The sequence below is a fragment of the Homo sapiens genome, chromosome 2 (assembly GCF_000001405.40).
Source record: "Homo sapiens chromosome 2, GRCh38.p14 Primary Assembly".
NCBI classification, from domain to species: domain Eukaryota; kingdom Metazoa; phylum Chordata; class Mammalia; order Primates; family Hominidae; genus Homo; species Homo sapiens.
Window position 1 is genome coordinate 26,873,605 of NC_000002.12, and position 27,269 is coordinate 26,900,873.

The 27,269-nt window shown below is 44.7% G+C and overlaps 1 protein-coding gene across 4 annotated transcripts in view, besides 1 other annotated feature; it reads left to right on the top strand.

The window, feature by feature from the left end:
- The window catches only part of DPYSL5 (dihydropyrimidinase like 5), a 102,357-nt gene that overhangs the window by 25,610 nt on the left and 49,478 nt on the right, over positions 1–27,269 (top strand). For all 4 annotated transcript variants that reach the window (NM_001253724.2, NM_001253723.2, NM_020134.4 and 1 more), the window contains exon 2: positions 24,892–25,156. In NM_001253724.2, coding sequence (NP_001240653.1) covers positions 24,896–25,156 — 261 coding nt within the window. In that variant the 5' untranslated portion in view covers positions 24,892–24,895. The remainder of the gene's footprint in view (positions 1–24,891; positions 25,157–27,269) is intronic.
- Positions 12,447–12,496: an enhancer, noted in NCBI's record as "active region_15480". NCBI's record gives its function as "activates an Ori minimal core promoter by ATAC-STARR-seq in GM12878 lymphoblastoid cells {active_cell/tissue: GM12878}" and the evidence as "EXISTENCE:reporter gene assay evidence [ECO:0000049][PMID:35858748]".

A 27,269-nucleotide genomic window follows, 5' to 3' on the forward strand; every position in this document is an offset into this window, starting at 1 on the left:
ACAGTTGGGGTATGCAAATGATGGTCTGCAGGCGAAATCCAGGCTTGTCACCTGTTTCTGTATGGTGCATAAGCTACACATGGTTTTCACATGTTTAAATGGTTGAACAAATCAAAAGAAAAAGAATATCTCCTGACAAATATTCTGTTACATCTATAAATGGATTAGACGATGTCCACCCACACTGGTGAGGGGTGGATCTTCTTTACTCGGTCTACTGACTCAACTGCTAATCTCTTCCAGAAACACCCTCACAGACACACTCAGAAAAAATGTGTCTTAACAGCTATCTGGGCATCCCTTAGCCCAGACAAATTGACACATAAAATTAACCATTATACACCATTCTACTGGGCATAGAGTGGTATTTCATTGTGGTTTTAATTTGCATTTCCCTGATAACCAATTATGTTGAGCATTTTTTTTATGTGCTTATTTACTACTTGTATCTTTTTTGTAGATACAAATAGTGTCTCTTCAAGTGTCTCTTCAAATCTTTTGCTCATTTTTTTAATTGCATTGTATTATTGAGTTGTAAGAATTATCTTTATATTCTGGATATAAGTCCTTTATCAGATCTATGTGTTGCAAATGTTTTATCCCAGTCTATGGCTTGCTTTTTCATTTTCTTAACAGGATCTTATGAAGAACACAAGTTTTAAATTTCGATAAAAGTTTCATTTAACAATTTTATCTTTTAGGGTTCATGCTTTTTATGTCCTAACCCAAGATCCTAAAGACTTTCTCCTATATTTTTTCCTAGGAGTTCATAGGTTAGCATCTATGATTAGGTCTATGATCCATTTAAGTCCACTTTTTTCCCCAAATGGATATCCATTTGTTCTAGCATCATTTGTTGAAAGACTACTCTTTCCCGCATTGAATTACCTTGGTACGTTTGTCAAAAATCAAATGATCATATATATATGTAGGTCTATTTCTAGAATCTCTATTCTGTATCATCCACATATTCATCTATCTTACAGCAATACCACACTGTCTTGATAACTGTAGCTTTACAGTATGTCTTGAAATAAGGTTTTAAAAAAGCAGGAGGTGTCTGACTTCATGTGGCATTTTCCAGGTGTCCCAGGAGGCCCAGCCTTTGCAGGGAGACCTGCGTTCTGGGAGGTGGTGAGAGGTGTGGCTGCTGATCTCTGGGTTTGATTGATTCCACCTTTGTTCTTTTCCAAAATTGGTTTGCCTGTTCTAGGTCGTACATATTTTATATAAATTTAATATGAGCTTATCAATATCCACAAAAAGGCCTATTAGGATTTTGATTGAGGGTGTGTTGAATCTGTAGATCAGATTGGAAAGAATGGACATCTTAACAATATCTGTTCTTGCAATCTAGAAACATGATATATTACATTTATTTAGTTCTCTAATTTCTTTCAACAATGTTGTAGAGTTTTCATTGTACAAGTTTTGCACCTATTTTGTTAAATTCATCCTGTTTTCTAATCCCTTTATAAATGAGATAAATATGTTTTAATATTATAAGCTGCTTCATTCCTCCAGTTCTCAGAAAAGCAACGGATCACTTGATTAACTGCAACAGAATAAGGCAGATTGGGAAGGAACTAGGACTGGAGTGGGTGGAGGGTGGTGAAGGGACAGCTCATCACAGACACTGGAGAACCTGCATTCCAGTGGGCGAAATACCCATGACGGCAGAGACAGCAGCCATTGGGTAACCCAAGTGGGCATGTGGGGTGAAAACAGGCAGGAGAGCACAGTGGTGGGAGTGCAGGCACAGGTAGTGTGGGGAAGCAAGCAGCTGGTGTCAGAAGAGTGTGCCAACAGGTGGGGGACCACAGGTGGGCAGGCCTTGACTCCCTGAGGAAGGTGATGGGCAACCACAAAGAAGGGTGTGTCAGCCTACTGGGAAAGAGATATGAGGCCCTTTGCACACAGGCTTGGGCTCAGGGAGTCAGTATCTGGCGTGGAGTCCTGGGCCTGCCCTCAGCAACAGAGGAGTTGGAGCTTAGAGTCAGGGCTTGTCCACTGTCAGGCATCCCAACCTGGAGGCTCAGTATGTTGGACTCTACACCTGCCTTCTGGGTTTGGTTCTTGGCCTGGGCTGGTGGTGGCTGGGGGTGGGAAAGAGGCTACCAGGGACTAGGAACCAAGGAGATCTGGCCAGCCTTTCAGGGAATAGATGGGGGATAAATTGTATGTCCTTATAAAAATAATTTGGGTGTCTGTCATCAGTTCCAATTCCACCTCTCCTAGCAAGAGCAGGTAAACATGAAAAAGAGGAAATGCTGGCATTCCAGATGAATTAGACGGGCAGGCAACCCAAATTCTATTACTCCCATTTACTTGCTTTCAAGAGATGTAGACGTATTCATCTCTTTTATCGGTAGGTATGCAGCAGGTGCTCCACAGTCAAGCATCAATCTCAGAGGAAAGGCCCATTTCCTCTTTTTCTTTAGGTGAATGAATTTATCTGCACTTTTTCAGACTCAACCATCAGGAAAAGCCTTTTGAACCCCAAATAATCATTTGCTTCATGTTTCCATTCATTCATCAAAGGAAGGTAGCAGCCAAGTAGGCCAGGTTACAGAGGGTGTTCTGCTCCCATTTTGTAGCCATTTGAGAAGATGCTGCCTTGTCCAGGGCCCTGGTGAACAGAATGGAGGAAGGGGGCCATTGACTACCCCTCCTGGAGGTAGCCCCATCACTTGCACTCTTCAGTGAAGATGATGCCCTCACTGGGTGCGTCCCAGTGCACGGTGGAGTGGGGGTGCCTCTCACTGAGATGGGGGCCACTGGAGGACGAACCTGGTGGAGATAGAGCATGATAAGCTTGGTTTTAGATGGGATGGGTTAGAAGGGCCAGCAAGATATCAAAGTAGAGAGATCCAATTGGCTGTAGATGTCCAGATTAATGGTTTTGGGGTTTGTTTTTGTTTTTGTTTTTTGAGACAGAGTTTTGCTCGTCACCCAGGCTGGAGCGCAATGGTATGATCTTGGCTCACTGCAGCCTCCATCTCCCAGGTTCAAGAGATTCTCCTGCCTCCGCCTCCCGAGTACCTGGGAGTACAGGTGCCTGCCACCACGCCTGGCTAACTTTTGTATTTTTAGTGGAGACAGGGTTTCACCCTATTGGCCAGGCTGGTCTCGAACTCCTGACCTCAGGTGATCCGCCCACCTCGGCCTCCCAAAGCGCTGGTATTACAGGCGTGAGCCACCGCGCCCGGCCATGATGTCCAGATTAATGGTTGTTAAAGAAATATACAAGAGATGTTAGCTTGCTAGTGGCTTTGCCTGACCTGGCACAAACATCCTCAGAGTGTAGTCCGGTGTAACTACCCCATTCACCAGTGCTGTTACTGATTCCACAGCCACTTTTTTTTTTTTTTTTTTTTTTGAGAACGAAGTCTCGCTCTTGTCCCCTGGCTGGAGTGCAATGGCGTGATCTTGGCTCCCTGCAACCTCCGCCTCCCAGGTTCAAGCGATTCTCTTGCCTCAGCCTCCCGAGTAGCTGGGATTATAGGCGCCTGCCACCAAGCCCGGCTAATTTTTGTATTTTTAGTAGAAACGGGGTTTCACCATGTTGGCCAGGCTGGCTGGAACTCCTGACCTCAGGTGATCTGCCGGCCTCCGCCTCCCAAAGTGCTGGGATTACAGGCATGAGCCACCGCGCCTGGCCCATAGCCACTTTATTATAACAATATTTTTATTTCTATTTATTTATTTATTTTTTTAAGGCCAAGGAATTAAGTGACTGTATTTAGAACAGAAGGTATTCCATGAATAACATCAAAACAATGTGGACACTAAGAGAATACATGTAACTCATGGATGCAGGGGACGCACATTGTCTGCATTCCTGTTTTCTGTGCCTACTACATGTGCTCCACCCCACACCTGCTGAGTACATGCTGGGAAGATCATGTCAACCCTTGGAGCAGCTAGTGTTTAATCATCTCCTGCTAGCGCCTCATGTTTTACATTTTGGCACTGTCATGCAGATACTCCCCTTTCCCCCTAAATAAGACACTGTCACACAATATCTTTTAACTCATCTGTATTTGTATAACAATATTTTTAAAATTATATAGTACCAAGAGATTGAGTTCCACTGTAATTCTCCTGTGGGAAAACTGCAGTTAATAGTTTCATATATATATGAAATCTCACTCATATAAATACACATATAGATAAACATACCTTGGGTTCTGGTTTTGTCCTGTAAACTACTTTCTTCACTCATAACCTCCCATGTCAATACTTAGAGATCTACAGAATCCTTTTCAATGGCTGCACAGCCCTCTATTGTGTGAATATACCATTATTTATTTAAACAGTCCTCCTATTGTCAGACTTTAAGCTGGATCTCAAAATATTTGTTATTATAAACAACAGTGTTACCAAACACCCTCGTACTACATCTTTGTACAACTGTTCAATTATTTCCTTAGGAGGAATTCTTAGACATGAAATGCACATTTTAAGTTTTCATGCAGATGTTCAGATTTCCTTCTGGTGAGAACATACTAATTTGAACCCTGTTAACAACATATAAGAATGCGTGCTTTTTACATTTGCTTTGGACATTGTTCTGTGTGCTATTATGAATAGTGAAAAATGTAATCTCATTGTTTTCATTTGCATTTATTTAATTATTAATAAAGGTGAACATCTTTTCATTTGCCTATTAGCTATTTATGTCCCTCCTCCCCTTGTGGGTTACCTATTCTTATCCTTTGCCTATTTTTTTATTGTAGTATTTTTTTGTCTTTTAGGATTTAGAAGCGCTATTACATATAAATATTAATCCTTGGTTATATGATACACACCTGTCATACCAGTTTTTATTTGTCTTTATTAAAAGTAATTTGTGGTATCTTTTGCTGTATCATAATTTTTCACTATTGTATAGTCTAAATTACTCTGATTTTTTATGGTTTCCGGCTTTGGATTATGATAAAAAGAAAAGCCTAACTCAATCAAAGGTTATAAACATATCCTTCTATGTTTTTTTCTAGCATTTTATACTTTTCTCTCCTTTTCTAATGTAGAATGCAAATGTACTGATGCTACTTCTTTGCTTGCCATGCTAGCCAGCCCTGCCACTGCACTCAGCATCTTGTCCATACTCTTGGCACGCCATGTCCCACCAGGCCTTGAAGGATTCAGCCGCTGTCCACTTTCCACCCTCATGCATCCAATGCACCAGCCATCCTGAGTGCACCAAGCTAGCTTGCGCCACACAGCTTCTGTCTGGAACATCCTTGCCTGACTTCTTCCTTGACCCCTGGTGAACTCCTAAGCAACCATCCAGACTCACCTCCAAGGCACTTGTGAGAAGCAGTCCTCCAGCCCAGTCAGTGTGAAGTGCTTCCCCACCCTTTCTGGTACCGGCAGCCCTTCCAGCTCCTTGTCTCCTATTGAAATGTTGGTTGATGCATATCCTTCCACTACCAACTTGTGAGCTCCATGAGAGTTGGTTGAGTATCTGGCACCCAGTACAGTAACCCTGCCTCCATGATCTGATTTGCATTTTAGCAAGCTCAATCTGCTAATAGTGTGGAGGCCGGGGACCAACCAGAAGTATCCATGTAATGGTGAGGTCATAGTCCAGTAAATGATAAGGGCCTGACTTCAGCAATGGGTTTGGAGAAAGAGGACAGAGGAGAAATTGATTTAGTAGGTAGAACCAACAGTGTTTTGTTTGAGAAGTTTCCTGGACATTCAATACATGAGAAAATAAAAACATTAGCCCAGTGCATGGTGGCTCATGACTGTAATCCCAGCACTTTGGGAGCCTGAGGTGGGCAGATCACTTGAGGCCAGGAGTTTGAGACCAGCCTGGACAGCATAGCAAAACCCTATCTCTATTTGAAAAAAAAAAAAAAAAAAAAAGCCCATTAGCATGGTCCAGACCTTTTGATTGTTTGGAATTACGTCTGCTTCTCTTCTCTTGTGACTTGGCCTAGTTATCACCTCCACGTCATTATCTATCAAGTGAAGTTAGCATATGGACCTCCAAGGCCAGCTGTGCAGTGATTTCCGTGTGTGACGAGCTCTCCCAGCCCCGGACACATGCAGTCAGTGAGTGCTGGTTCTCTGCTCTCCTCCACCTCATTACCTTGGGTGGTGGGGTCAGTTGCCATCTTCCAACTGATCTAAAGGATTCCTAGAGAGAGATGGTGAAATCAGCTCTTATTATTGTGTTTCCACAAACCACAGATGTGCCCTGGACAGCTAGTCCCTGCCTAGACACCTGTCCACACCTGCTTTCTGCTCTGCTCACCTATGCTGCCACTCGTTTGTTGTTGTTGTTGTTGTTGAGACAGGGTCTCACTCTGTTGCCCAGGCTGGAGTGCAGTGGCATGATCATGGCTCACTGCAGCCTCGACCTCCCAGGCTCAAGTGATCCTCCTGCCTCAGCCTCCTGAGCAGCTGGGTCTACAGGCACGCACCACCACACCCAGCTAACTTTTGATTTTTTGTAGAGACAGAGTCTCACTACGCTGCCCAGGCTGGTCTCAAACTTCTGGTCTCAAGTGATCCTCCTGCCTCAGCCTCCCCAAGTGCTGGGATTACAGGCAGAGCCATCACTGTGCCAGGCCCATGCTGCCACTGCTAGTGTCATTCCCACTCTGTTTTCCTTTCCCTCCAGGGAACCTCCCAGCATTCAGCCCTTTCTCAGCTCTGCTCCTTCCTTTTCTGTTCTGTGGGCACCACCCAGTTAACCCACTGCACCCCCATGCCTGGCTTGGCATAATCACTGCCCTCCCTGTCTCCAGTCAACCCAGGCCAGGGTAAGGAAGCAGAAAGGCCAGTCCCCAACTCACAGTTGCATCCTATGACCACACTTGGATCCTGCTCCCGCTGTGCCAGGGCACCCTGGGAGCCATGTGTCTCATTCAGAGCCTCGACCTCTTGCTCTGCACCCCTGATTTATGTTCTGTCTCTCCAAGCTGCATCCTCATCCCAGCTTCCTCTCTCAGCCCCAAGGTAGCCAGTCTGTCTGCCATTCTCAGCCCACCCTTGCCTACCTCCGCCTCCCCTCTTTTCTCCATGCCAGAGAACACCTGCTTTGCTCCTCTCCCCCAGCCCTTGACCAAACACCCACAACCAGCACAGAACTCTCTTTTGAGAAGACTTCTTTCCCATCACTCACAGCTCAGAGTCCGTTCCTGTGGCTGACGCTGTAAATGCAAGCTGCTTTCTCACCGCCATCTCCGTGGTTCTTACAACTTCCCCAACCCAAGCCTTCTTTCAGCCAACATTGAATGAGTCCCCTCTATGTGCCAAACCCTCAGAGGACAAAATAAGGCATAGGCTTGGCTTTCAAAAAGCTTCAGTCTGTTGGGCATGAATTCCAACCCACAGTTTTCTCAGCCATAACGTGGGGATAATAATGTTTCATTTCCTCACAGGGCTGCTGTAAGATTGCTAGGAAATCGTGTGTGAGCTCTTGAGATGATGTGGTGCTGATGGTGTTGACACCTACTTGACAGCTGGGAAAACGGGCCTGGGAGGACGTGCCCATAGTCGCATGGCACAGCCAAGGTCACTGCCCTCACCTGTGCTCACCCTGCGGCCCACCCCATTTCCTCCTCACCTCCCCTCTGTGCCCGTCTCATCCTCACTCACTCCCATTCATTTCCCTCTAAAACAGGGCCCTGAAATCCAGATGCGATCAGCCTAGTGGTATCACTGCCCCAGAAGAAGGGAAGTTGGTCATTTTCACCCCCAGACGTTTCTGTAAGCCTCCTGAGAGTGCCCACTGGCCTGCCACCCCTGTGGCACAGTGCTTCCTGCCTGCCCCCGGGAGTCTCAGGATCAAGGTCACAGTGGCTCACCCACCTTGCTGCTCATCTCCTCAAAGCTGGGTTCCATTAGTCATGAATTTCCATGGGCACTGATGAGATTTGCTTCTCAGGCTTAGGAATTCTGGACTGGTGTAAAAATGTCTGTCTCAGTGATGGAGGTGTCAGGTCCGTAAGAAAGACAGCCGGCAGGAGCAGGCACAGGAGGAAGGCTGCTTTTGATTGGGCAGAAGCATTATTGGCTTAAAGTCAGAGGCAGGTAAAGCAACTTCTTTTGGGAGAGAGAGCCTGGGAACACATTTTAAGTACAAGTATCTGGTGCCTCTTTGAAGGGGTCTTACGACTCAGAAATAAAGGGAATGCCTTGTACCCTTTTGAAATCTTGTTTAATTTCAAGAGTTGAAATAAAGGAAGCCAGGCACGGTGGCTCACACCTGTAATCCCAGCACTTTGGGAGGCCGAGGCAGGTGGATCACGAGGTCAGGAGATCAAGACCATCCTGGCTAACACGGTGAAACCCCATCTCTACTAAAAATACAAAAAATTACCTGGGCATGGTGGTGGGCACCTGCAGTCTCAGCTACTCGGGAGGCTGAGGCAGGAGAATGGCGTGAACGCGGGAGGCAGAGCTTGCAGTGAGCCGAGATCACACCACTGCACTCCAGCCTGGGTGATAGAGCGAGACTCCATCTCAAAAAAAAAAAAAAAAAAAAAAGAAAGAAAGGAAATTGGTTTGTCCCAGACAAGGGCAGGACTTCCTGAAAATAAGAGGGAAAGTTTTCCACCTTATTTCAATTTTTTTTCAAACAATATAAAAGTACTTGCATGATTTTAAAGTACAATATTTACTTATTTATTTATTCATTGAGACAAGGTCTCACTCTGTCACCCAGGCTGGAGTTCAGTGGCATGATCACAGCTCACTGCAGTCCCGACCTCCTTGGCTCAAGCAATCCTCCTGCCTTAGCCTTCTGACTAGCTGGGACTACAGGCGCACACCACCATGCCCAGCTTATTGTGTGTGTGTGTGTCTGTGTGTGTGTGTGTGTGTGTGTGTGTATGTGTGTGTAGACAGGGTGTCACTATGTTGCCCAGGCTGTTCTCAAACTCCTAGGCAATTGCTCAAGCAATACTCCTGCCTCAGCCTCCCAAAGTGCTGAGATTACAGGCATAAGCACCACGCCCAGCACAATATTTATTTTTAATTATAAGAGCAATGTTGGCAGAGAGTGGTGGCTCATGCCTATAATCCCAGCACTTTGGGAGGCCAAGGTGGGTGGATCACTTGAGGTCAGGAGTTCAAGACTAGCCTGGGCAACATGGTGAAACCCCATCTCTACTAAAAATACAAAAATTATTTTGTAAATTAGCCAGAGGTGGTGGGGTGCACCTATAATTCCAGCTACTCAGGAGGCTGAGGTGGGAGAATCACTTGAACCCAGGAGGCAGAGGTTGCAGTGAGCCGATCGTGCCACTGCACTCCAGCCTGGGTGACAGAGCGAGACTATCTTAAAAAAAAAAAAAAAAAAAAAGCAATGTAACATATAGAAAGTCTGGAAAATTAGGGGGGCAGAAATCCCTTGTTATCCCACAACAGAAACTATTGTTTATTCTCTTCTGATCTGCTTTGAGTCCATATTTTGATTGTAAGCATATTTGACATGTATTTGTATGTTTTTTTAAAGTTTTAAATGTTTGATGAGATATATACAGAAACATGCAGAAAATATATGTGCAGTTTAAAGAATAATTAATAGCAAATGCCTTCATAATTCCCACCATGTAAGAAGCTCCCCCTACCATGGGCCCCTCCCTCCCTGCCAGATAGATAACCACTGCCAGAGCAATAACCCCTATCTTGAGTTTTCTGATTATCATTTCCTTGTTTTTGTTTTGCCATGGTTTTAGCACTAGATGCCTACGTACTATAATTCCCATTTGCCTGTTTTTGATGGTTATGTGAATGGAATCATACCGTATTTGCTCTTATTGTTTGTTTGTTTGTTTTTGTTTGTTTTTGAGGCAGAGTCTCACTCTGTCACTCAGGCTGGAGCACAGTGGTGCGATCTTGGCTCACTGCAACCTCCGATCCCCGGGTTCAAGCAATTCTCCCACCTCAGCCTTCCAAATAGCTGGGATTACAGGCACGCACCATCATGCCTGGCTAATTTTTGTATTTTTAGTAGAGATGGGGTTTCACCATGTTGGCCAGGCTGGTCTTGAACCCCTGACCTCAAGTGATCCACCCACTTCAGCCTCCCAAAGTGCTGAGATTACAGGCATGAGCCACTGCACCCAGCCTCATATTTACTCTGTTATGTCTGCTCCTTCCCCTCAACTATTGTTTGCAAGATGCTGTATATGGCTGTAGTCAGTTCATACTAATTTTCAGCTTAAAAGAGAAGAAAGTAGTTTTATATTCTCATTCAATTTCTACCCTGAATCTAGGTTTCATCAGGTAGCCCGGGTTTGTGGTCCTTTCATGGTTAAGAAAATACATCCTTTCCTCCTGTTTTCCCCAGCCCACACCTGAGGTCTCCAGCTGAGAAGAGCCCCCGCCCCGTTTCCTGGCAGTGGGTGTGAGCCCTCTTCCAGCATTTGGCCCTTGTTCTAGGAAGCAGCCACTCCAGGAGCTGCTGGAGACCCTTGAGCTGCAGCTGCCATCCTTCCAGGGGAGATGATGGAATTATTTCTGGGGCCTGGAGACAGCTGGCAAGAGCACGGGAAGCACAGCAGGGCTGAGTTATCTGCCAGGAGTCGGTGCCGGGTGGGCGAGGTGCTGGTGGTGGTGTGGTGCCTCCTCTGGTCACAGACGCTTGTCCTTCCCCAGCTAAAGCCCCAATCGGGAGTCAGGAGTCCTTGTCTCCCATGTGTACACCTGTCTGTCCTTCTTCCAGGACCTGCGGGAGCTGGGCTTATGGAAGTGGGATTTACTCACACTTACTTTTGAGGGTCCTCAGCCTGCCCAGGCCTCAAGTAATGAAGCCTCCTGGCCTCAGGGAGTCAGCCAACACTTACAAGGAGCCAGGCTTCAGCTTGAACGCCCAAGACTGGTGCTGTGCACACTTGGGCTGGGAGGTGCACGTGAACACACATCAACGCACAGCTAAGCTTGTCCTATCTCACACACACACACACACACACACACACACACACACTCAGCTCTGGCTTCTGACAACTGCCCCTTAGCTCTTCTGTGCCTTTGAACTAATCTCACTGAACAAGTGGTCAGCAGCTCCCATTTCTTACCACCCTCTCACAGCTAATCCTTTGCAATGTAGCTTTTGCCCTCTGCACACTGATGGTCCTTGTTCATTAAGTCCAGCCACGTGGGGCCGGGCCAACTCAGATGAACTCATGGGATTAAAACCTCTTACTTGATCTTAGCCTGTTAAGAAATCATCCCTGTGGATTTATATACACCTTCCCAGAAGCTATTTGTTTCATTCAACTCCTGCTTGCTTGGGGCCCAAGCTTGATCTGTACTTGTGTCAGTTTCTTTTAAAAACCGTCTCAGGAGGCCGGGCATGGTGGCTCATGCCTGTAATCCCAGCACTTTGGGAGGCTGAGGCAGGCGGATCACCTGAAGTCAGGAGTTAAGAGACCAGCCTGACCCACATGGTGAAACCCCATCTCTATTAAAAATACAAAATCAGCTGGGCGTGGTGGCAGGTACCTGTAATCCCAGCTACTCGGGAGGCTGAGGCAGGGGAATTGCTTGAACCTGGGAGGTGGAGGTTGCAGTGAGCTCGGATCGTGCCATTGCACTCCAGCCTGGGTGACAGAGCAAGACTCTGTCTCAAAAAACAAAACAAAATAAAAAAAAACCTGTCTCAGGAGCAAGCCCTTGTTAACCATATTCACACCCATGACGCTGGCCAATGCAGATGGTATTTCCCTCCCCGTACCCACTCCTGCACTCGGAAGAGGATGTTCTGGTGCTGGGCTCTTACCTATAGTCTTGCCCACTCCCTGACCTACTTGTTCCGATTCTACCTTCTCTCCAGTGCAGTGACAAAGGTGGTAGCAGTTTTCCAGATGTGGATGCTTCATGATCTGGTGCAGATGGTCCCCAGGTACAAACGCCCCAGTCCAGCCCTCCCCCAAAATGGCACCTGCCATCTATAGGCTTGATCCTGCCCCGCCCCTGGGTTAATGGAAAAAGGGCCTGGTGGGACATTCAGAGACCTCCTCACTAGCCAATTTGGTATGGAAATATGTTTGTGGCTGTGGACAAGGACCCAGGGTGTCTCATGGTGGATGTAACATTAGACAGAGACTCTCTCTAGCCTCTGACTGCTCTGCCTGATCAGTCCTTCCTGTGCCAGTCCCAGGCCATTCAGGTTCTCCACTAGCCTTTGGAGATGGCTGAGGCCCAGATGGAAGAAAGGGGACCTGCCCTTCTGCTCTCCTCAGTTCCTTGCCCCAGGGTTGGGTTCTACTTCCAGAATCCCTCAAAACATTTTGCACAAAACTCCCAGGTAATCCAAATCAGGACCACCTCTCAGAGCAGTCTTCCTGGATGTCGACCCTGGCCTGGGTTGGATAGGAATCTGGGAAGAGTCTGAGGTTTCTGGATGGGGTGACTGGGGACAGGGGAGTTGGTTTTGGACAGGTTGAGTGTGTGCTGCCTGTGGAACCCAGTAGAATGGTCCAGTGGGCATTCGGATGGTATTAAAATGCTCCCGCTCCCTCATTAGCTAGACTTTCAGTTTCCTGTTTGCTTCAGAAAGTAGAGAACTGGGGGTTGTGAAAAGCTCAGTCACTGAGCAGGTAAAGTTTGATTGGATGTCGGGAGAAGTAGTCACGGAGTGGAAACAGCTGTGACCTTTTCTTTTTTGCTTGTCACCTAATTGCTATTAGTCATTAATTCATATAAACTAGATACCTTTGAGAAGTAGGACATGGTCAGATGAATGAGGTGTGGAGACTTAAACAGTAATGACATGCTGAGTTCACAGGTCTCTGTGTCATTATGACCTGCCTTACATGTAGGTCATAAATATTTTATTTCTGTCTAAATAAATTATAAAAAATGCACTTAATGATATTAAGCTGCAGCTACTTACCTGAAAAGGAACAAAATATCGCCTCTGAAGTAACTACTAATTATACAATTTTGCAAACTAATAAATATTATTTTAAATCTACTCAATAGTTGATAAATCAATTATGAATTAATCATAAAATTATTCTGTGCTTTAATATTAGTTAAGTTTTTACTGTTTACTACTTAGCCATTTAGTTTTTTAAACTTAAATTTATTAACTTAAACCCTCAGCATTTCCCACTCATCTCAAACTCCCCTTTGGTTTTTGTGTTCTGTTGAACCTTTGATTTGGCATGTTTCAACTCAAAGAGAATCCCTTCCCTGAGTGACCCCAGGGTGCCTTATGTGCCAGCATCCTCCACAACTCCATTTTAAGAATGGCTCTCCCATTGAGAAGGCTGCAAAATGCCAGCCTACTCTTTCTCTCTCCTTTGTGCTGATCAGAAGAAAAATAGCCATAGGTTTCCATTTTCCTTTCCACACAACTGTCGTGTATTGCCTTTTGATCCTTTAGCAAATGTTACCTGCTTGGAGCAAGGGAAAATCATGCCAGCCCGCCTGTATCCTCTGTGACCTGAGCTGACCTCACCTGCCCCTTGAGGTGCTACCCAGGTTGCCATTAGGCTTGGCTTAGATGCCACAGATCCTTCATGTCACATGACAGTGTTTTTGATATAACAGTCTTGTGTGTTTTTGATATCACAGTGACCAGTTATCTGTAAAATCATACGTTTTTCTGTGGATTCTATCAAAAGAGGAAATGTGAGTCTTAAACTAATGCTTTCTAAAAAGAGGAAATGCATGTCTGAAACCAATACCTTCCAAGTTCCCTTTAAGGTCTTTATGCAGGAAGGGTCCCCCTTGCACCATCCTGGCCCCAAGTTCCTGTGCCAAGCTCCAGAGGCCCCCAGCATCCTCCAGCTGAGTTGTTGGCAGGGGCAGCCGTGCAGGCCAGACTGTGCAGGCTCTCCTTGTCTCACACCTCCCCGCAGGCCCAGGGGAGCTGGGGAAGGCGATGACAGAAGCAGGCAATTCCAAAACACAGTGTTGGGCTTGGCATTTCTTTGGCAGGACTAAAACTGTGTACCTTATAGGAGTGTATGGTGTGTGCATTTCATGATCAAGAAGCAGCAGCTGCCATAACTTTGTCCACTCAGCAAGATGCTTCCTATGCAGTTCTGCATTGGAACTACTCCACAAAAGTAAAAATGGGGGGCATGGAAGGAAGGATTTTTCTGTTTTCCCACAAGACAGTGGTTGGATAGCAATAATTGTTACTATTTTAAACATGGAGAGGCTTTCTCATGAAAGACTGCACTCCCTAGTTACAGTATTGTCCCCTCCCCACCATCCCACTTCCACCCCAAGTTCTCTATCCCAGCTTGCACATCACCTTAACGCGAACCCATGAATGGTTCAGGAACATAATGCCACAGGATCAGAATCCTCTTGGAGGAGACAAGCTGTGTATAACTGGATAAATCTAGGATTCGGGATATCCAAAGATAGCCACCATCTTGCTGTGGAAGGCATCATTACTTCCCTGAATAAACTGTAAACATCATAAGATCCCTGTGCTTGCAGTGTGACACCTTCCCTTTAGTCCTGGGCTGGTTCCCTTCAGTTCAAGGTCACTGTTGACAAAGTCCAGGGATTGGAGTGAAAATTGGAAGTAAACTTAATAGTCTATGCAGCTCTAGAATTCCATACTTCTGATTCTTTCTTTCTCTTTCTTTCTTTTTCCTTCCTTCCTTCCCTTTCTTTTCTTTCTTTCTTTCTTTCTTTCTTTCTTTCTTTCTTTCTTTCTTTCTTTCTTTCTGTCTTTCTTTCTGTCTTTCTTTCTTTCTTTCATCTCTGTCTCCCAGGCTGGAGTGCAGTAGTAGTGCAATCTGGGCCCACTGCAATCTCTGCCTCCCAGGTTCAAGTGATTCTCCTTCCTCAGCCTCCCGAGTAGCTGGGATTACAGGTGCGTGGCACCATGCCCAGCTAATTTTTGTATTTTTGGTAGGGACGGGGGTTTCACTATATTATCCAGGATGGTCTCAAATTTCTGACCTCAGGTGATCCACCCACCTCGACCTCCCAAAGTGCTGGGATTACAGGTGTGAGCGAGCCACCGTGCTCAGCCACGATTTATTCTTTCTAATGGCATTTAACTGTCTGGATTTTTTCCCATTCTGCCTGAGATGACAGACACATGTTTTTGAATTCTGTTGTTTGCATAGATAAAATAACTGGATGATCAAAGTTTTTGGCGAAACATATGGGCATATGGGATATAGCCAGAAGTCTTTAAAGGAGGTGACATTTATTTTAAGGCCCAGTTGTTACTTACATTGCTCATTTCTGTCTAGTGTGATGTCTTAGTTTAGGCTGCTTTAACAAAACTACCGTAGACTGGGTGGTTTAAACAACAGAAATTTATTCCTCACAGTTCTGAAGGCTGGGAAGTCCAAGATCAAGTTGAAGCTGAGGGTTGCTGTTGAGGGCTCTCTTCCCGGCTTACAGATGGACGCCTTCTTGCTATGCCCTCACATGTCAGAGAGAGAGATATCTCTCTCCTGTCTCTTCTTCTAAGGACACTATTCCCATTCATGAGGGTTCACAAAGGCCTCCCAAAGGCCCCACCTCCAAATACTGTCACACAGGAGATTAGGCTTCGACATATGAATGGGACACAAACATTCCATTCATTGCATGTAGTGAGCCAGAGGGCCAGATATTGACTCTGTCTGCTACACAATTATTGTGTTTTGGAATAAACTAGGTGACTTGAAGCATCAACAATCGGTAAAACTAATGCTGGCCTTCTGGAGAGCTTATACTTCTTTTTTTTTTTTGAGACGGAGTCTTGCTCTGTTGCCCAGGCTGGAGTGCAGTGGTGCGATCTCAGCTCACTGCAAGCGCTGCCTCCCGGGTTCACGCCATTCTCCTGCCTCAGCCTCCCGAGTAGCTGGGACTACAGGCGCCAGCCACCACGCCCGGCTAATTTTTTTGTATTTTTAGTAGACACACAGTTTCATCGTGTTAGCCAGGATGGTCTCAATCTCCTGACCTCATGATCCACCTGCCTCAGCCTCCCAAAGTGCTGGGATTACAGGCGTGAGCCACCGCGCCCGGCCTGGAGAGCTTATACTTCTTTCTGACCACAACCTCTGACAAGAATGTTACCTGGATTTACTGCCTCAATTGGAGCAGAGGGAAGAGAGTCCCTTTATGGTGCTTAAGAACCTGCATAGCGTAGGGAAAAAAAAAAAAAGCCTGTATCACAACAATTGCCCTCAAATCTCTTCCCTTCTGGGCGACTTTCCTGAGAGGTCCAGAGTATCCACCCCACTCACCCACCCTCTGCCTGACTCCTTCACTATGTTCATACACATGTGCACACACAGACAGCCTGTGCTGCAGAGACAGACCAGCAACGTCCTCCCTTTGTTGAGTTCAGCAAAGACTAGCAGGGAAAGCTGTAAGAATAAGGTGCTAATGAGGTTACTGGGGAAGGTGAGCAGCATGATGAGTGTCCACAGTCCACAGCGAGGCGGGATTGGACGGGGTTAGCATCTTGGGGACTTAGGCTACTTGGAAGGGTAGGAATGTTTGGGAAGGATACTGGTGCAATAGGCTTCCTACCATCACCATGCAGCTAGTCTTACCCATTCCAGCTCTGGTCTCTGTAACATGGGGAAAGATACCCAGTTTAGACCAGTATCTGTCAAGTTCACTGTTAGGTCTTTAGGCAAGAAGTGTCCCCTTTACACTTCAGTCACCTATTAAAGCAATTATTTGCATCTCTCTTGCTCCGCAGACTGAGTTTCTTAAGAGCAGGGCCTGTGGTTTTTTCAGAGTTGTCTCCAGTGGAAAGGAGTGAAGTTATAGAACACTTTAGTGCACACAAATGTCCTAAACTTTTAAGATTTTAAAAATTTAAAAAAGATATTCTCCAAAAGCACCCTGGGTAGGGAGCATGTTAGGCAACTGTGCTACGATATTATCCAAACAAGCCAGTGCGGGCTTAGAGGTCCCAAGACCTTGGGAACCCTGAGGCTGAAGCCCTGCAGGCTGCTCCGACAGCAGCCCACGTGGAAAGCTGGAATTCAGCACAATTGGGCCTGGAGGCTGGGCCATCACTCACACTGCGGTGTCTCTACTGAGCTGCTTTAGATCTGGGGTCCAGCTCACCCCTCCTTCTGTATGGCTCAAGGCTAGATGCTTGTATTAGTCTGCTCAGGCTGTCATAACAAAATACCACAGACTGGGTGGCTTAAACTACAGGAATTTATTTTCTCACAGTTCTGGAGGCTGGAAGTCCAAGATCAGGGTGCAGGCGGGTCGGGTTGTGGTGAGCTCTCTCCTCCCGGCTGGTCAATAGCTGCCTTCTCACTGTGTCCTCACACGGCCTTTCTTCTGTTCCTGTGCCTGAGAGAGAAAGCGAGCTCTCTGGTGTCTCCTAACCAGGACACTAATCCTAGCAGATCACGGCCCTGCCCTATGACCTCATTTAACCCTTAAAACTTTCTAAGAGGCCCCATCTCCAAATACAGCCACACTGGGGTTAAGGCTTCAGCATATGAATTAGAGGGGACACATACATCTAGTCCATAATAACTCTAGAGACGAACTGTCTGGCTTTCAATCTCTGCTCTGTTACAAACTAGTTGTGGGACCTTAAGGACGTTCTTTTAACTTTTCTAAGCTTCAGGTTCTTCTTGGTAAAAATGGGGGCAATGATGGTACCTATCTCCAGGCATTGTAAGGATTAAATCAGATGATGCACACAATGGGCATAGCGAAGGGCCCAGTATATAGTCAGTGTCTAGTAATTATTAGTTAGCATTATTAATAGAGTCCTTTAAGTTCTGAGAATGAGTTTTCTAGATGGTAGTCCTAGGAGAGCAGTCTATCCTGGATTTCCAGGACCAGCCCAGGCCTGCGTGAATGGGATTCCTGGGCCAGAGAGGTTCCAGGGCTCCCCAGTGTTCTGCAAGGGAGCCAAGCCTCTTCAGAGCCTCGTTAGCCTCCGGAGACTTCCAACTAGGAAGTGGAAAAAAATAGGCCGAGGTGGTGGCAGCCCAAGGGTTCTAGAGAAGGGGAGTAGTCAGCCCCATCTATTCCTCCCTCACCCATCTCCTTTCAAAAAGGATGGCAGAGGGAGGAACTGAGCCAGCTGGGTCTGAATGAAGGGTCACGTTGGATTCCTTCTGGCTTCTTTTTAGTTAATAAATAAATAAATAACTTTTTTTTTTTAGACAGAGTCTCGCTCTGTTGCCCAGGCTGGAGTATAGTGGCATGATCTTGGCTCACTGCAACATTTGCCTCCTTGGTTCAAGTAATTCTTCTGCCTCAGTTTCCTGAGTAGCTGGGACCACAGGCATGCACTACCACGCCCAGCTAATTTTTGTAATTTTAGTAGAGATGGAGTTTTATCATGTTGGCCAAGCTGGTCTCGAACTCCTGACCTCAAGTGATCCGCCGGCCTCAGCCTCCCAAAGTGCTGGGATTACAGGCATGAGCCACTGAGCCTGGCCTAAAAAAAGGCTTTTGAACATATATTTTCAGATTATATGTTCCTCCTCCAATTTATTATGTAAAATTTGAAAAATACAGAAACCTGTGAAGGACATAAAACTCACCTGGAAACCTTCTACCCAGAGTTAATTCCCTTAAGTCAGATAGACCTAAATCTGAAGCCCATCCCTCCCCCTGGATTTTTATGACCTTTAATGGGCTACTTGTTATTTTCAAAACCTCTGTTTATTCCTTAAAGTGAGGCTAACACTTCCTGCCTTGTTCCCACTTTGTGGAGGTTGCTGTGTGAATGCATGTAAAGTGCCAGGCACAGGGTGTTTATTTACTGAGAGCTCTTACTTCTATTGAAGATGATGTCCTTGGCTTTCGATTCTAGCATCAAAGCTCAGACAAGAATTCTCAGTAAGCTATTATCACAGTGCTCTTTCAGGTTCTCCAACCTCCAAGCATGTGTTACGAGCATGTAAGCAAACCCATCTTGTCATTTATAACATTGACATAACGATTATGCAGCAATTTTTCCAGCATAAGTATTCCTAGTTTTCCTCTTACCTTAAAGCTGCTTTAAAAGGTGAGGATTAAGCCAGACATGGTGGCATGCACCTGTAGTCTCAGTTACTCAAGAGGCTGAAGCTGGAGGATTGCTTGAGCCCAGGAGTTCAAGTTCAGCCTGGGCAATGACATAGAGAACTAAAAAAAAAAAACAAAAACAAAAAAACAAACAAAAACAAAAAACAATTTAAGGTGAGGATTATATCTTTGCATAGAGCATTGGGTTTGTTTGAGAGAGAGAGAGAGAGAGAGAGAGAGAGAGAGAGAGAATGCATCTCAGACTTCTGGGCTTCCTGTGGCCAGAGTGGCTCTATCCACCACCTAAGAACCAAAGCCATTTTCTTATTATTGCATATGAAATTAAAACTCCAGTTTTTAGGTTTTAGGACAAAAGATCCCTTGACATGTGTTCAGCTTCACCCCAGCTCCAGACAATAGGCTTGTGGCTGTGGCTGTCCCCTCTTCCCTAGTCTCTCCAGTCCAACTCCCCACGGCCTCTCTGCCCTGTCGCCTTCCACTCTAGGGGAGCAGGGCCTCTTCTCCCCAGAGGTCAGAATGATACCCTGCAGGGAGCAGATGTTCCTGGAGTACAGTTGTCACTCCCAGCCACCTGCTTTGTTTCCCAGCACTCCCTCAGGCAGCAGCCCCCAAGGGCCATGCTTTCCTTACAGCAGGAGAACCTGGTGGTTGAGGCTCCATATAAGCTTTCTTGTTTGTTGTTGAGATTCCATGCACTTGAGCCTGGCCAACTTGGCAAAAAATAAACCAACTGTTTCCAGGAGAACAGGCTATGATCTCCAAATATCTGACATGTGCCCTTACAAGAGGTACTCCTTTAATAGATCCCCAAGGCCTTTTCATCCTGGGACACAGCCTTCCCAGAACTTCCCTGGTGACAGACAAAGTTAAATGATGAGGATGAGAGAAAATATGTTGCTCCCTTTGTTCTATTCACCGTAATTAGCTGTGTTAGGAAAATTGAGCCTTATCCTGGACATAGAGTTGCAAAATATCCCTGAAAACAAACATGGAATTGGTCTACTACTCATTGCTTTAAACCATTTTGATTGTGTTAGAGTGCAACAAGTAGATGGGGCTATTTATTCGTTTATTCACCAGTTTTGAGTATTCTGTACTGGATGCTGAGGATGGGGAGCGGGCGGAGACAAAGATGACTGATAGGACTGTCTTTGAGGACCCTACTCCATAGGTGGAGAGAGAATCTAGTGCCGTGAAGGCAATGGATCTAGTGAAGGCACAAAGAGAGTCAGAGAAAACTTTTCAGAAGAGGGGACAATTGGGCCCTGAAGAACGAGAAATTTACTGCGTATAAAAGTGGGCTTTATTTTACCTCAAGGACACACTGCAATGGCGTAATCTCCTTCCTGCTGGTCAGAGTTTGTCCTATATTTTCTAAGCCTGAATGTAAATATTTTCTGTTCAGATATCTAAGGGTCAAGAGAGTTGCATATCCTTATTATTATTATAAATCCTTATTAGAATTTATATTATAAATATAAATATAACAATTTTATATACTTATAATTATATAATTATAATTCATATTATAAATATAAATCCTTATTATTATAGATAATTCCTTACTTATTTTGGATATTAACCAAAGTGTGCCCCCTGGATGGAAATTTTAAGCAACTCACCATGACCACAGCTATCTGAGTTGCCCTCAGCACTGGCCCCATTTCCTATGTGCACCCCATTTCACTTCTCAGGTCCCTGCAGTGGCTCCCCCACATCTTCACACTCTTCTCAAATCCACTCATTCTGTACCACTCCCACGAGCTCTCAGCCCCCAGCTTTGCAGAGCAGAGAGAATGCAAACTCGCTTATATGCCTGTCTCTTCTGCATCTGCACATCACCTCCTCCTACAAGCCTTTGACTTTAACCTCTCTGTATCTCTTTCCTCTTTGGCAAGGTGGGCATAATAATACCTTCCCCACAGGATTGTTGGAGGGATCTAATCAAGCAAGCCATGTAAATTGACAAGTGAGGGCCTTGTTTGTTGAGGCCTTCTGTTAATGATGGTTGCCATTATTCTATGCTACCTCCTTCGGGAGCTCACATCAAAAATAGTCCCTTGATCTCTTAGACCTTTAATCTCTCCCTTGGCTCCTTCTTCACTCCCTGAAAAATATTAGTCCTAAAATTGATACTTTCCCTCAGCCATGCTCCTTGGGCCGTTTCTAGGCTTTCTTTACTCACAGAGATCTTGACGACTGTATACACAGTCTCCACAAACTTGCCTTCAGTCAGAGTTCATCAAAGTCTCACTGATTTCCAAAGCAGAGGTCAAGATCTTCTGTGGTCCTTGCCCCCACTTCACTGCATGGCTCCATTTAATGCTAAGGGAAGGGAGCTCTACAGAGGAGGGAGTAGTCAGTGGTGTCATATGTGGTTACTTGATGCATAATCCATTTTGAGTTCATTTTTATATAAGATTTTAGGTTTAAATTAAGGCTGGGTTTTTGGCCTATGAATATCCAACACCAATTGTTGAAAAGACTGTCCTCCCTTCATTGAATTGCTTTTGCACCTTTGTCAAAAATCAGTTGACCATAGTTGTCAAGATCATGCAGTCTTGATTACTATAGCTATGTAATATGTCTTGGAATCAAGTAGACTGATTCCTCTGACTTTATTCTTCTTTGTGGAGTTTGCTTTAGCTGTTCTAGTTCCTTTGCCAGTCCACATACATTTTGACAATAATATGCAAAAGATTTGTGCTGGGATTTTAATAGGAATTGCATTAAACATGTATGTCAATTTGGGGAGAATTGACACCATGTTGAGTCTTCCAATCCATGAACATGGTATGTCTCTCCACTTACTTAGATTGTCTTTGATTTCTTTCATTGGCATTTTGTAGTTTTCAGCATACAAGTCCTATGTGTGTTTTTTCTTTTTTTATATTGACAGATAAAATTGTATGTATTTGTTGTGTGCAACATGATGTTTTGAAGCACATACGCATTGTGGAATGACTAAATCCAGTTAATTAATAGATGAATTACCTCATATAATGAGAGGTTAGAACACTTGATAGCCATACTCAAAGCATTTTTCAAGAATACAATGTTATTATTAACTATAGTCACCATGTTGTACAATAGAGCTCTTAAACTTATTTAACTGAAATTTTGTATCTTTTCACCAACATTTCCCCAACTCCCCTTTACCCCAACTACTCCAGCCACTGATAACCACCATTCTGTTCTCTATTTCTTTTTCTTTTTTTTTTTTTTTTTTTTTTTGAGATGGCGTCTCGCTGTGTCGCCCAGGCTGAAGGGCAGTGGCATGATCTCGGCTTACTGCAACCTCTGCCTCCCCGGTTTAAGCAATTCTCTACCTCAGCCTCCCGAGTAGCTGGGATTACAAGCACCCACCACCACGCCCGGCTAGTTCTTGTATTTTTAGTAGAGACGGGGTTTCACTATCTTGGGCAGGCTGGTCTTGAACTCCTGACCTCATGACTCACCCACCTCGGCCTCCCAAAGTGCTGGGATTACAAGCATGAGCCACCGCACCCAGCCTCTGTTCTCTATTTCTATGGATCAACTTTTTTAGGTTCCACGTAGGAGTGAGAGCATGTGGTATTTGTCTTTCTGTGCTTGGCTTATTTTACTTAACCTGATGTTCTCCAGATTTATCCAAGTTATTACACATGACAGGACCTCCCCCTTTTTTATGGCTGAGCAGTATTCTATTGTGTGTATATACATCTTTTTCATCCATTCATCCATTGATGGGCACTTAGGTTGATTCCATATATTGGCTATTGTGAATAATGCTGCAGCAAACAAGGAAATGCAGATATCCCTTCGACATCTGATTTCATTTCCCTTGGATATATACCCAGTAGTGGGATTGCTGGACCATATAGTAGTTCTATTTTTAAGTTTTTAAGGATTCTGTATACTGTTTTCCATAATGGCTATACTAATTTACATTCCCACCAACAGTGTACAAGAGTTCCCTTTTCTCCACATCCTTGCCAACACTTATCTTTCATCTTTTTGATAATAGTCATTCTAACAGGTGTGTGGTGATAATCTCATTGTGGTTTTAACTTGTACTTTTCTGATGATTAGTGATGTTGAGCACTTTTTGATAAATCTATTGGCCATTTGTATGTCTTCTGAGAAATGTCTATTCAGGTTCTGTGCACATTTTTAAATTGAGTTGTTTTCTTGCTGTTGGGCTCTTTCAATTCCTTATTTATTTTGGATATTAACCTCTTGTGAGATGTATAGTTTGCAAATATTTTCTCCCATTTTGTAGGTTTTCTCTTCACTCTGTTGATTGTTTCCTTCGCTATGTAGAAACTTTTTAGTTTGACGCAATCCCATTTGTCTATCTTTACTTTTGTTGTCTGTGCCTATACATGTTTTCTTGGATTTATGCCTATTTCACTTTTTCTGGTGACACCAGGTGTGCATTGCTAGTGTACAGAAAAAAAGTAGCCTTTTGTATATTGATCTTGTAACTTGTGGCCTTGCTTATTTGTTCTAGGAGATTTTTTTTGGTAGGTTTCTTGGAATTTTTTATGTAGATCATCATGTCATCTGCAACGAGGGACAGTTTTGTTTTTTCCTTTTCAATCTATATGCTGTTTATTTCATTTTCTTTCCTTATAGTGCTGGCTAGAATAACCTACGTTGCCTAGCACTGGCAAAAGTAGACATCCTTGCCTCTGCTGTAGAGGAAAGTATTTAGCCTTTCACCATTAAATCTGATGTTAGCTGTAGGTTTTTTTGTAGGTGTTCTTTATCAAGTTGAGGAAGCTACCCTCTCTCCCTACTTTTCTGAGAGTTTTTATCATGAATGGGTGTTGAATTTTGTCAAATGCTTTTTCTGCATCAGTTGATACGATTTTATGATTTTTCTTCCTTAGTTTATAAAGATGGTGGATTACACTGATTGTTTTTCAAATATTGAACCAGCCTTGCATTTTTTGAATAAACCCCATTTGTGTGGTGTCTAATTCTTTTTAAATGTTGCTGAATTCTGTTTGCAAATATTTTGTCAAGAATTTTTTATATCTATATTCACGAGAGATATTGCTCTGTAGTTTTCTTTCTGTAGTGTCTTTGTCTGGTTTTTGGTATAAGGCTAATACCGGCTTCATAAAATGAATTGGGAAGGGTTTCCTTCTCTTCTGTTTTCTGGATGAGGTCAGTATTAATTCTTCTTTAAATGTTTGAAAAAGTTCTCCAGCTTTTGAAAACTGTTGATGCTGTGGACCCAATCTGGCCCAAATAAATCTGCATCTCTGGGGGTGGGGCTTGGGCATACATAGTTGTCCAAAGCTACTCAGGTGAGCTTCATGTGCAACCAGCTGTGGAGCTAAGTGTTGGTTGTGGACTTCTTGAAGCCAAAATAGGAGCATGAAGGAAGCAGAATCCATCTGAGGAATGTCATGAATTAAACAGCTGTGAGATTTGGAGAGTTCAGCTCTGAGACACACCCCCAGAGGCTCTGGTGTTTTCAGGATACCGTGCAGTGTAAGGGAGACATTTGTTGTATAAGACATGTGGGTTCGACTTGGCTACTTGATAACCATAAATTCCTTAGCAATTTCAGCTTTCTCATCTGTAAAATGCCTTGGGTTGTTTTGGGGATAGTAGAGATATGAGAAATGAGATATGAGAGATAGAAAATGAGATAGTAGATGTGAAAGTGCTTTGGAGCTCACATAGCATTTTGGGAAAGTAAAACATGATGTTTCTGTAGGCCCCAGCTTCTCCCTTACTGCAGCTGTGTCCTGATTCCTAATAAGTCCCTCTGGGAAGCCAGTGGGAGGCTTGTGACTCCCGCTGGCTGTAGGGGAAAGTTCCTCCTCTTCTCTGCTCACTTACCCTGACCATGGAATTTGGGCTTTGATAGGAGGGATGGGAAACTGGAAACAGTGAGAAGGGACTTTGACCTTGACCATGCTCACCTTCTTGTAGGAACATGCTTGCCAACTCAGCCAGCGTGAGGATCCTCATCAAGGGAGGCAAGGTGGTGAACGATGACTGCACCCACGAGGCTGACGTCTACATCGAGAATGGCATCATCCAGCAGGTGGGCCGCGAGCTCATGATCCCTGGCGGGGCCAAGGTGATTGATGCCACAGGAAAACTGGTGATCCCTGGTGGCATCGACACCAGCACCCACTTCCACCAGACCTTCATGAATGCCACGTGCGTGGACGACTTCTACCATGGGACCAAGGTAATGCTCCTGTTTGCCAAAGGTGGCTTCCTCTTTGGCTTTTTTATTCTGCTTCTAGGGCTGCTCCAGACTAGACTCATGTGAGCCAGGTGCTCCCAGTGTATTGCTGGCAGGAGAAGGGTGTGTCAGGGCCACTGTGGCAACTACAATAGGGATTTCCGGCTTAACGTCACAGATTTCCATGATTATAGAAAAGGAGGCGTTTAGGCTGGTTTTGCTAATCAGATCATTTACCCAAGTACCCAGGCTGAGAACTGATTTTATTTGTATATCTTTATGTCATGTAATACAAACCTAGAGGAAGAGAATAAGCTGGTGTTTGTTATTAAGTAGGGGAGTGGGTTTGTCTGATGGGCTTCTTTATGTATGATAAACTGAATTAAATTCCCAAAGACTGAAAGACAAATTTGCTTCTTCTAGAGGATGAGACAGCTTCTATTACCTCTCCTAGCTTGCTTGTTATTTTTAAAAACAACCAGAAAATTGCTGGTGGTGGGCTCTCTTTTCAGAGTGAGTTACCATGGACAATATTTAACAGTTACTGAGCTGGACCTGAGCTACTGTAAGTTCCTGAATGCCAAGTACAAAAATTCAGAAGAAAAATTAGGAGGAAACTACATTCTGCAAAAAGAGCCATGAATGGGCTTTTTTACCCTTCCCGTGTGCTCCAACACCTCTGTCATTGCTGTCATCCCTCTTCCTTGTGATTTTCTATCTCATGCTGGCCTCTCCCCGGACATCAGACTGTGAGCTCCTTGAGAGCAAGGCCTGGCCATTTTCCTCTGCTTTCCCAGAGCCTGGACTGACCTGGAACTAGAGTAGCTGTCCCGTAAGTGTGCAGGCAGAGGCTGGGCCTGGCACAGCTTGATGGACCAGCCCCACCTCAAGCAGATGGCCCTTAAGGTCTCCTTGAGGACAGGCCCCCTTCCCAATCCAGGGGCTGCAGACCAGACCCTTGGAAGGCTGGGCTATGAGGAGTCACAGTAGCCATTGCCCGACTGTGCCAAGGCAAGGATGCTCCCTGGCTTAACCCTCTGGCATCAGGGCTACACCTGCTCACTCTAGCCAAGTCCAGGGAAGAGAGGTGGTAGGCCGACTCTCCTTGCTTTCTCCTCTGAGAATTCTCCCGGGCCCTGCAACTGATGTTTTGATTATGAAATGGGGAGCCCCATCCTCATAAATTCAGGATCCTCTTGCAGGGTGCCTGGTGACAGTCGGGACCTTTCTCAAGTGAGTGAGCATATCCAGCTCACCATCCTCAGGCACTGAGCCAGGCCAGGCCTGCGGTTATTGTTGTCATTTTCACTGAAGTATACCATATATACAGAGAAGTGCAGAAATTGTAAGTACACAGAATTACCCCATTGAATACACTTGTAAGCAGCTCCCAAGTCAAGACACCAAACTTTACCAGCACCCAGAAGCTCCTCCAGTCACAGGTTCCCATCAGGGATAACCACTATCCTGACTTCTAATAGGATTTTTTAAATAACAGCTTAATCGAGATATAATTTACATATCATACAATTCATGTATTTAAAGTGTGTAAGTCAGTGGTTTTGGTATATTTATCACAGCTTGGTTTTGTCTATGTAGATGAAATGAAGCAGTATGTACCTTCGCATTGGCTTCTTTTGCTCAAAAATTCATAAATTCATTCACTTTCATTGCTTAATACTATTCCACTGTGTAATATACCACATAGCAATTATCTCTCTGTCAGTGGCCATTTAGGTCATTGCTTGTTTGAGGCTATTACAAACATTGTCACTATGAACATGTTCTTGTACACATCTTCAGCAAACATGTCTGTACACATTTTGTTGGGCACATACTCCCGGGAATGGAATTGCAGGGCCCATAGGGTACACTTAGGTTCAGCTTTAATAGGTAATGCCAAATAGTTTTCCAGACTGGTTGTAACAATTTATGCTCCCAGCAGTAGTGTAAGAGAGGCCACAGTATTTAACACTGACATCACCAGTCCATTCTGGGGTCCATTCTGTAGCATGCTCAGGGCTTGCACTAAAAAATGCACCTTCCTAGTTACTGTCCCTGTTTGGAGGAGTCCTTTAGGCCAGGGTCAGATGCCACACTGTCACTATGCTGTCTA